Source organism: Homo sapiens, chromosome 3 (genome assembly GCF_000001405.40).
Source record: "Homo sapiens chromosome 3, GRCh38.p14 Primary Assembly".
Classification (NCBI taxonomy): domain Eukaryota; kingdom Metazoa; phylum Chordata; class Mammalia; order Primates; family Hominidae; genus Homo; species Homo sapiens.
In genome coordinates this window covers 180,026,423-180,037,336 of record NC_000003.12, presented here as the reverse complement: position 1 = coordinate 180,037,336, position 10,914 = coordinate 180,026,423, and the positions used below count along the sequence as shown (strand labels likewise).

Genomic DNA, 10,914 nt, shown 5'->3' with positions numbered 1-10,914 from the left:
GGAGAGACGATGCATGTCTTCCCGCCTTTCTTCCGGCCGGCCATCCTCTCCGCTAGAATCGCCCTGCCCGCCGACGCCGCACCTGAACGCCGCGCTGCTGCGGGCGTTGTACACCAGCGCGACCACCGCCTGCCGGCACCTCGCCTTGCCGCCGCGCGCGCGCAGCCCCGAGGACGCGCTCGGGGAGCGCGCACCGCCCGGGGCCGCCCTCGGGCCGCTCCCAGGCCCCTGGGAACGCGCGCGCGTGCCCGGTCCCGCGGCCTCTCGGCAGGCACGCGGCTGGGAGAACGGCGCGCGCCCCGCTCGGCAGCTGCGGCGGCGGCTGGTGTAGGCGCTCACGTCAGGGCTGGGAGGAGGGGGTTCGCAGCTCAGAGAGAGAGAGACATGAGGCAACCTGGCAGGAAGCGAGAAAGAGTTCGGCGAAGAAGGAGTGAGTTCTAGAGACGCCCCGCGAGCAGGACCCGCGCCTGCAGGAGAGCCTGGCCGACCCGGCTCCTCGCCTTCTCTGCGCGCTCTCCCGCGTCCGCTTTCAGCACCCCGAGCGGAGAACAGTTCCCGGCAGCCCGCAGCGCTGCCGAGTGGCCGCCGGCCGGCCGAGTACCCGGAGCTCCAGGGGGCTCAGGAGCACCCTCTGAGAACCCGCTGTGCACCCACCTTTTCCCCTCTTTTGGTGGGCAAGTAAGCACGGGGGAAAAGCATCCGGTGGCCTCAGGGAGCCCTGAAGAAACCGAAGCAGAATGTACCAGGGACACATGCAGGTAAGACATTTCTATAGGGCTGGAGAGAATTCTTGGGGGCTAATTTAAGAGCAAGGCGGTTCACCAAGTTTCTGTGGTCAAGTGCTGCCTTCGCACAGCTCAACAAGTGAAGTGATGCAACATGACCGTGACATTTCTGTCCGGTGCTGCCGGGAAAACTAGACCGGTTTCCGAAGGTGGGAGAAGGGGAGGGAAGACCTCAGAACTTCGATTGGGGAAGTTTGTTTTCTGTGCATTCCCTGAGCCTGTTTCTTTAAACAGGATCAAGGAATCGAAACAGAGGAAACCCTAGAGATGACCGTGTTTCCGTTGTAATCCTATTGATGCATCTCAGCATGTATGTCAACTGAAGGGCAAACAATAATAGGAAAGACAAAGCTTTTCCTTTACCATCTGAAAAGGTTGCTTGACTTAGAACACTCTGTCACTTTCGTTTCATTTTTTAAAGTGTTATATTTAAAAAACGATTTATAGTGTATTTTCCCCCTTCACATTATGGGACATTGCCATCTACTCCAATAGTCACAGGATGACTTGGGAGGATGAATTTCAAACACATGTCCAAGGAGCTCTAATGTTTTTCAGGGGAGGTGCTGCCTCCGGTTGTTATTAATATTCATCTGAGCTGAGCCGCTGCTTCTTTCCGATGCAAACACACTCTACTCTCTTGGGCAAGATTACTTTAACCTTGACTCCAGTTCTCATTCATACGGTTGGTTGGTTCTTATAAAGGCAGATATATGCTTTGGGAGAAAAATAAAATACTAACTCAGCTTTCTAAAGTATGAACTGGACTCTTTATCGCACCTAAATGGTTTAGTCATCAGGTTTGATGTTTGGGCTTCCTTTCCATTCCAAAGATGGTCAAATACAATCATTATGTGTGATGCCTTTATCCTGGTGTATAACATTTATGAATACTGAGGATTTTGCTTCTGTGTCTTTTAGAGCAATTGGAAATAGATAAATATGTTGTTATATTTATGACTTAGTACTACCCAGATTTAATTTCCATAACTTAGGGAAATTCTTTTGGACTATAATCCATTTTTAAATAAAACACAATATTTCATCATAGTCTCAATTTTTATAAGAATTCTCAATATACAGTGCCAGAATTCCAAAAGATTTCCCGTATGACTAACATCATCCTGTTTTGAAAATTATTAATGTGATTATATCACATTTGATAGACAAAAAGTAGTGAATGAAGTATATTTTTAAATATTATATATGATCAATGTGATCTGCATGTTTCTTATAAAAGCTACACCAATTGAAAAGTTAAGTAACATAGAAGAATTCAAATAATGACTGCTGAAAAAATTAACAAAGAATTATTACTATAGTTTTATGCTTCATCTTCACCCAAGAATGATACTTACAATTTTATATATTATCTGTTTTTTAAACAGTTTCTTCACAAGGGTAAAACAGGAAGATTTTAATAGAGTCAACCCTCAAAAAATTGTTCATTTACACAAAATTGACAATTGACCACTAAGGGGAAATTAACAAAAACTTTGCACAGTATTGTTTTGTTGCTTAAAAAATATGTTACTGTGAATGAAGAATCGAAGCAACAATATGGTAAATTCATGCACCCAAAAACAATTTTAACTCAATTTTCTCAATATCTCAAAGGAGAATGTTATTGAAACTTGAGTTGCCTGGAACAATGTCTGAGGGTTTAATTTCACTTTGAAAGAATAAACAAAATATAAGACTCTGCATATTCTCCCAACTTAATGTCTTTTGCTTGTGCACTGCTGTAACAGCAAATATGATGACTTGCAGTAAAACTCACAAATCTTTGCTGCCAAGCTTAAATTAAAACATTACTAAATAAAGACTGTAATCAATACATCCACCAAAATTTCAGAGCATAATACTTTTTTCCTACTTACTATTAACCATTAATGTTAAGCATAAAACTTCCGAGGCCTTAGTAGGTACGTTTAGTAGTTATTCAATAGTATGATGATCTGAATGGGCATCTGCTCCCCCCAACAAAAAAATACCTATGACAGATTGATTCATAATATACTTGTTGGCTTACATTTTAAACTCATATCTCTTCCCCCAAAGAATATTATTTAGCCTATGGACAAAATAACGTTTCCTTATCAGAGATACTATCATCTTCCTGTGTGTACCTGACTCTAATCACAGATAAGAAGAAACACATTCCAAACACTCCAAAATGTGTATGATTAAAATCTGAATCCATATTTGGTAAAGTGGACCAGGGATAAGCAGATTTACTAACATTTCTGCCAGCTTTGGAGTTAATTTGAAACATAATGTTACTTGACTGATACCTTAAAACAAGAGTGAAACAGAAATGTTTGCAATCTTTTGCTATGCATTCTAATTCTTCTCTTTTCTGTATCCAAGAGACTTTAAAATAAAGTGCTTTGTAAATTAGCAGTTTGAAGTAGGGGCAGGTGTTCTCAGGAAGACTTAAAAATAGTCTAATTTAAAACTCCTGTGGTGCCTTTGTTTTTGCAACTTAATGATTTTGCAGATAAAGTCTATTAATTCTCATACATATGGCTAATTCATCTGGTTTATGGTAGAATCTGAATTCATTTTAGAAACCGCAGACTTTTAAAAACACACATTTGGTTTGCTCTGCTAGTTCATTAGAAAATAAAAGTTGGCATCTATTACAGATAGAGCATAGAGTAACAGATATTTCTTGGTTTCATAGTAAAAGCCGCAGGTATATTTCTTAGGAGCAGGGTCCTGGAGCTATGTTTTTATCCAGCTGCCTTACCAATTATTTCCAAGGGGAGTTAGTCACCCCAGTAAATGAAGCAAAGGTTGCTTCTTTTGTGACTGTTTTAGATTTACTTATTTTTTTCTTTTGACCAAGGGCACTGATGATGATTGAATATACTTTAGCATCGGTTCTGACAAAACTCTGTTGCTCATTGAGGGCCTATGGTCTTAATTCCACCAATACCTCTGTATGTTCAGGGCTGAGGTGATTATTTGCCTATGTGCATTTGAGTTAACATTTCCAGTTAGAGGAAATTATTACATGTCTCTCAATGTTTTCTTAACCTAGCTGTTTTATTTCTGGGGTGGTATAAATACAGAGAAATATAATTTCAATTTTCTACTAAGATTTTTTGAATTGTTATTGAAGAATCCACAGCAATGGGTTTTTTAATAAAAGAAAGTTATTTCAGAAGGCAATCAAACAAAAAATCTATTTGTAATTGTAACTGATCTTTATTTTAGGCATTCAAAGCAGACTTTTTGACTTATTCAAGCTGTCTGGGGAATCATTCCACACCCTCTAGCTTCACAAGACATAAACTAAGGAAAATTTAAATGACAAAAATTGTAAGATTATTAACAGCCCAAAAAGTAGCCATTTGTTTTCCCCCAGGGGAGTTTTGCATTTGTTTTTCTATATGACTTTACTTAAGATTTTTCTTAAAATCTCTACAAAGGGGAATAGCTTAGGTAATTTAAGTTATGTTAGTACATTAGATCTCGCCCCTGGTGATTTATTTAGGTTCACTAGAAACAAAATACATAAGAAACCAATTGAAGGTAAGACTGTAGAACGTTGTTTTCAATACCCTAAACAGTAGGTTATCATAATTGAGGCCCTCAGCAAAACTGTAAAGCAGATGATATTTATCATGGGTACTTCCACCTCTCTAACAGATCCACTTTTTTCCCTCCTGGTACCACCTTTTTTAATTCTTGAGACAGGGTCTTTCTCTGTCCCCCAGGCTAGAGTGCAGTGGCCCAATCTCGGCTCACTGCTTGCTATGCCTCCCTGGCTCAAGCAATTCTCCCACCTCAGTCTCCCAAGTAGCTGGGACTACAGGTGCATGCCACCATGCCCAGATAATTTTTGTATTTTTTGTAGAGACAGGGTTTCACCATGTTGTCCAGGCTGGTCTTGAACTCCTGAGTTGAAGCGATCCACGCGCCTTTGCCTCCCACAGTGCTAGGATTACAGGCATGAACCGCAGCTCCCGGCTCACCCTTTTCCATCCTGTGTTCTTTCTTTCTTAACCCTTTGCTAAGGCATTAACTGCTAGCAAAGATATGACTAATAGCAATAAACCACCTGCACGCACACACATACACACATTTTCAGAGGCGAGTCTTTGAGATTAGTTTAGAGTTGGAACGGGGGTGGCATTTTCAGGAGAGTGAGCAGTGCTGGGGTTTGTTGTGTTGTTTTGGTCAGTGGTTGCTGCTGCCTTCCTCTCCCCCTTTGTTATCTCAGTTCAAGTGGCACCTGGTCTTCTTCCTCAAATGTCATCTTATAGGTAATGATGAGCATAAGTATGATGAAATATTAACTAGAACTCTGTTGAAGCAAATTCATGTACATTTAAGCTGTTGATCAAAATTATGACACAAGCTCCAGCAAGATTCTGAAGTGTCTTCCTGTATATTCACATGCAAATCATGTTTGGTATGGATGTAGTGTTGAGCTTTTAACACTTGAAAGTTATAATAGTTGTGGTATGCATTAGCAGAATACTTGATTAATCTGAAAATCTCATTCCCCAGCCATACTGGCCAATAGTTTATATACTTACTATAAGAAACACAATATAGTCTTTGTAGATTTTATTTGTGGTTTATAAATATTCCTCCTAAAAACATGTGTTTGAAAGTAAAAATTTCATCATATAAATGTTTTTATTATAAAACATTTTTTAAAGTAAAGAATAAGAAAAGGTTAAAACACAACTTGTTAACTCTACAATTTTGAATCTCTAGTATTACCACTGCCAATCCTGGAAACATTAAGATGTGATACACCATGTAGTCAAAACATCTGGCAGGCTGCTTTTTTACACTTTTCATTGAGATCACATGTTTCCAACATAAGCTAAAGCTGTTAAAAGGTTTTATATTTTAAAATTACCTTCTTGATACATTTATAGGATAACCAGTGTGCAATTCTAACGCTAAATGTAAAGGTAAACTCCAGCCTAGTGTGTCCTTATTAAGAAACCTAAATCCAATCTGAATGTTTGGGACATCTAAAAATATAATTTCAAATATGCTGACAGAGAAAACTAGTAACCAAGTTCCTGAAACATTTTTCACCTTTTTATAATTCAGAACATATAAAACACAAATCATCTTGAACTATTGCATGAATCCAAGGCCAGAGTGCTATGAAGTGGGGGTTATGTTTCTTTCAGTGACCTTTTCCTTACCCCCCACCTCATCCACTTCTACCTCACCTCACCTATACCATCCCCTTTAGTAGGGATACCAAATGAGACTTTCTTTCCCAGTCTGCTCAGAAAAATTATTATAGCTTATATATTACTATATTATAGAGTATAAACAGGAAGATAGTTAATACTCTATTCATTAACTATCAAGACAATTGCTCAAGGCGTAATAATACAACACACTGCCAATGTTATAATGTCATGCTGACTGATTCTTACTAGTTAGTAACAAATATACTATTTTTTTATTAGTATAAATATCCATTAGATAAATATCCATTGTCATACTCCATGTAAGATTTCACTAAATGGATCAAACTTTTGGATTGTTTTTTAGACACCACTGTAAGAAATAGCACAGATGAAAAATAATGAGCTCATTTAGATAGGAAGAGGCTGTTTTGCCATTTCATTGAAAAAAAAAAAAAGACAAAAATCCCCGCCAGCAGCTCCAAAATGGGGTTAACCTGACCCAAGTGAAATAGTTAGAATTTCAGGTGCATGCACAACTCCCCAAAGTTTCTACTCATGTGCACGTACCTCTGGAAAACCAGATAAACCCTGCAAGTGAGACTTGATGTAGCAAGTTATTTTCCCCAAACAGAATGCCATATGGTGATCTATGAATCATGGAAATTCCAGGAGAAGAACGGTGTTGTTGTGATGCCAGAAATCTACCTAGGGAGTCACAAAATCCCCACTCCCACACACCCTCTTAAAAATCATGTGGTTCTTAAAACAACTGGTATGGTAGAGGAATTCATAACCATGTCATATGAATAATGATTGAAAGAACTGGGGATATTGGCTGGGAAAGTAAAGACTCAAGGAGACCATGATGACTCTATATAAGTATTTGAAGGGCTGGCTATTTAGGAAAGGGATAACATTGTTCTATACAGCCTTGAGGGTTAAAACTGGTGTTAAGTTAGGGTAAGGTAAAAAGTTTCCTCAAGGTGGAGACAATAAGAATGTACCGGATCTAGCACCCAGTTTGGCAAGATGCCCTCTTGGAGATGGAAGAGGCGTAGGGTGAAGGGAGAGATATGGGTGAGCAGATCACAGTGACACTGTGCACACATAGGCCCCTATTCCAAGACATTATGCCTTGTGGAGAAACCCAGTGAGAAGCACCATGGGAAAGACCCTCACACTAGGTATATGTGAGTTTGTGTCCCTATCGAAATGGTTGTAGTCGACTAAAGTAATGACCAGCAAAATCCAACATTTCCTGGGAAAATATTCCCTGTTTGTCAGTATTTGGGTGAGCCTCTGACAGAGCCCTGCCAGTACTGTCATGAAAAGTGATCAGAAACAGTGAAAGGTCAGAAAATATGGAAGCTCCTTAAGAAAGTGAGAAAGAAGAAAAATTAAAACACCATGAGCAAATGAACCTGCTAGAGCTGCAAAGCACCCCTTCACCTCCCTTCACATGGTTGTTAACTGTAACGTGCATGCCCATCCTCAGTGATCTGCTGATCATGTAGGGATATAACATTTGATTCGGCAGGGGATTATGTACACATGAGATACATGGGAGCTTATTGGAAATGCAGAATCTCAAGTCCAACTCCAGACCTACTGAATCAGGAACTGATTTTTTTGAAGGAACCAGTGATTTATATGCACACTAACATTTGAGAAGCACAGGTCTGAGAAAACTGTAGGTAAAAAACAATGTGTGATCTATTGAGCTGAGACCCTAGCAGAAAGCTTAATTCCTAGGTAGCTTTCTGACATCACAGAGGCAAGACGAAGTCCCTGAAAGAAGAGCTGGAAAGAGCAGCTATCACAACTATACTTGAATAAAAATGTCTTCATTATATTGACTCCATAACGACCAGCCAATTTGTTGTAGTTTTTCCTTCTGGAAAAATGCACAACAAACCTATGATGCTTCACCTAACACATTTATTTGTTTTATTTACAAATAAATAAATACATAGTTTTATTTATTTCTAATTTATTTTAAGGGAGTGGGGACATAATAGTTCTCAAAACAATTCGTTTGTTTGGAGAACAAACAAACAGAGGTGGCTCATGCCTCTAATCCCAGCACTTTGGGAGGCTGAGTCAGGTGGATCACTTGAGGTCAGGAGTTCGAGACCAGCCTGGCCAACATGGTGAAACCCCGTCTCTATTAAAAAATAACAAAATAAACTATTTATTTAGAGAACTATTATGTCCCCATTCCCTTAAATCTTTTCTCCTCCAAGATAAACAGTGCACTCAAGCATTTCTCATAATGATATTTCTGATGTTTTAAAGGCTGCACGAAAATATGGCCCTCCAAACAAGACACACTGCTAGAGATGTGATCAGGTGAATTCCAACCACTGCGAGATTATCTGTCTCTTGGGAAAGATACCTATTCAGACAGCCTAAAAGTGCATTAGCTTCTTTATATTAAATTGTTCTATAAAGTGTTCTGATGTTTCTATTCTCTAAATCACTTGAGAGTTATTTCACAGGTATTTGGTCTTTATACCAAAATAATCTTAAATCTAAATGTGATGATTAAAATATTCTAGGTCAACAGTTCCTTATGTCTCCAACGATGGTGTTAATGTTCAATTTTGAGGTCACAGAATCCTTTGTTTAAAGAACCTTTGAAAAAGTTTTCTTCAACCTTCTCATCTCACAGATGGGGAAACTGAGGCCCAGAAAAGTTAGAAGACTTGCTCAGAAAGTCCCACACTGGTTAGTTAACAGAGCTAGTGCTGAAGTGAAATCTGCCTTACCCTGGTATATTATTTTCATTACACCATAATTCTCTATTTTAAGACTTATTACATTCAAAAATCAACATGAAAATAAATATTACAATAAACCACTGACAGTTTCCAAATAGCTAGATGTTTGGCATTTAGTCATTAAAATTGATATTTTTCTGCTTTTCAGTTGTAGTATAACTATTTGATATTTTATATGTTGCTTTAGCAGTCATTTGGCTAACAATGGAAGAAAATACGGCCTGTAAGCATGTTTTACAAGTGAAATAAAGTGCCCTGAAAAATTGAATTAGAAATTTAGAACATTTCTTGTTCTAAAGGTGTTCACCACTGTTTCTCCTTGGACTGACTAGACTGGCCATTTGAATAAGCATAGAAAGAATGATGAAGATTTAAAAATTACCATTTTGCAATCTCCAGAGTAAAAAGTGACTCAAATAAGAATGATCAATGGATGTTAAATCTGAGGAGGAAGGCAGTATGGGAATAAGGTATTTACATAGCATCAAAATGTCATCCATAAATTACAAAAGAAAAAAAGGAACTTTTCAATGGCTAAATTGGATAACACCTTAACTAAGTCATCAAAATCAACATCACCAATAATGGACAGATGGAGCATGTGCCTCTGGACATGATGCTCTGAAAAAGAGACAGCGTCACTCAGGTAATAATCATGCCAAAAATGCACAACCTGAGTCTAATTATGAGAAAACAGACAAACCCAAAATAAAGGCTACTCTATAAAATAAGCAGATTGTGTTTTTCCAAAATATCAATGTCATGAAAAAACAAGAAAAAGCTGAGAAGCTGTTACAAATTAAAAGGAGACCAAAGAGATATGACAACTAAATGCAATATATAATCCTAGACTGGATCTTGGGCTAGGAAGGAAATTGCTATAAGGACACCCTTGGCACACACTATTGACCAGAACTCATATATGGACTTTTGATCAGTATTATTTTTGTTTTTACATTTTTGAACTGGATGACTATACTGTGGCTATGTTAAAAAGAAATCCTTGTTCATAGGACATACACGTACTGTATGAAGTGATAAAAAGCATGGTGTGTATATTTAATAATCTTATGTGTATGCATGTGTGTGTGTATATATACATAGAGAGAGAGGGAGGGAGAAGGAATGAAAGATAATGATAAAGCAATACAGCAAAATATTAAAAACTGCTAAATCTGGGGAAAGGGTTTATGGGAGTCCATTGTACTCTTTTTGTAATTTTTCTGTAAGCTTAAGAGACTATTTCAAAATAAATAATGTGTTGGAAAAAAAGTACATTGGGGCACTGGCAGACTTCTAGATCTAGGCTAGGGGTGAAGGGTCCAGGGAACAGGCAGGGGCAGAGCCCAAGTCAAGCCCTGAACAGGTCAGTGTGGACCCCACTGCTGCCTTCACAGTACAAAGAACAGCAGAGCTTGCACCCTGACTCAGCAGGCCTGAGACACTGGTTCCGCAACTACCCTGCTGCTGCTGCTGCTGCTGCCCACAGAAACCCCATGTTACAGCTTCAATGGCTGCCCTTACTGCCAGGATGGACTCTCTACCATGGCTACTTGTCTGTGTCCAAAATCCTATTTCAAAATGGAGGGCAGATACGGCTGATTGGTGGAGCTGAGCCACACGTTCATACCGGGGCTCCAAGATAGTCTGTAAAAGTGCATATTGGCTTCTCACCAAGACTGAGAGTGTGGGCAATTTCCCAAATGTAGAAAGAGAGTTTAGATTTGGGGAAGTTTTTTTTAAGTGAATGTCCACCGTAACATGTTCAGATATTGCTTGAATGTAAAATAGACACCTTGGTCTCTATCTTGATTGACTAGAGTCCAGCCTGGCTTGAGAGATAAGAGTTGAAAGGAAATAATTCTCTTTAAGCCTGCGTTTATTTAGTACTACCTGCCATTAGAGACAGGACTGTAAGAGAATATGGTAGAACTAGCTTATATTGGCTTATTAAATCATGTAGCAGAGAAGAGCAGAATGGTTCCTCTATCATTGATCAATGTCCATCTACTGCTCACTCCTTTTTGAGATATTAGAAAGAGCCATATAAAGAGTTTAGTAATTAATTAGGGAATTAAAATACATATCATATACCTTAATGATAAGAACATCTTTTTCCTCCATGTGCGGGAATTTACTGTGAAATATTGGGCACATTCATGTTTCATATTCATG

General features: G+C 38.9%; 1 protein-coding gene across 14 annotated transcripts in view, besides 1 other annotated feature; it reads left to right on the top strand.

Moving 5' to 3' along the window:
* Positions 285-334: a silencer, noted in NCBI's record as "silent region_14925". NCBI's record gives its function as "represses an Ori minimal core promoter by ATAC-STARR-seq in GM12878 lymphoblastoid cells {active_cell/tissue: GM12878}" and the evidence as "EXISTENCE:reporter gene assay evidence [ECO:0000049][PMID:35858748]".
* The window catches only part of PEX5L (peroxisomal biogenesis factor 5 like), a 241,980-nt gene continuing 231,465 nt past the window's right edge, over positions 400-10,914 (top strand). For all 14 annotated transcript variants that reach the window (NM_001349404.2, NM_001349401.2, XM_047448299.1 and 11 more), the window contains exon 1: positions 400-758. Coding sequence is in view for 11 of the 14 variants with exons in the window: in XM_047448299.1 (XP_047304255.1) it covers positions 738-758 (21 nt within the window). In the remaining 3 variants the exon portion in view is untranslated. The remainder of the gene's footprint in view (positions 759-10,914) is intronic.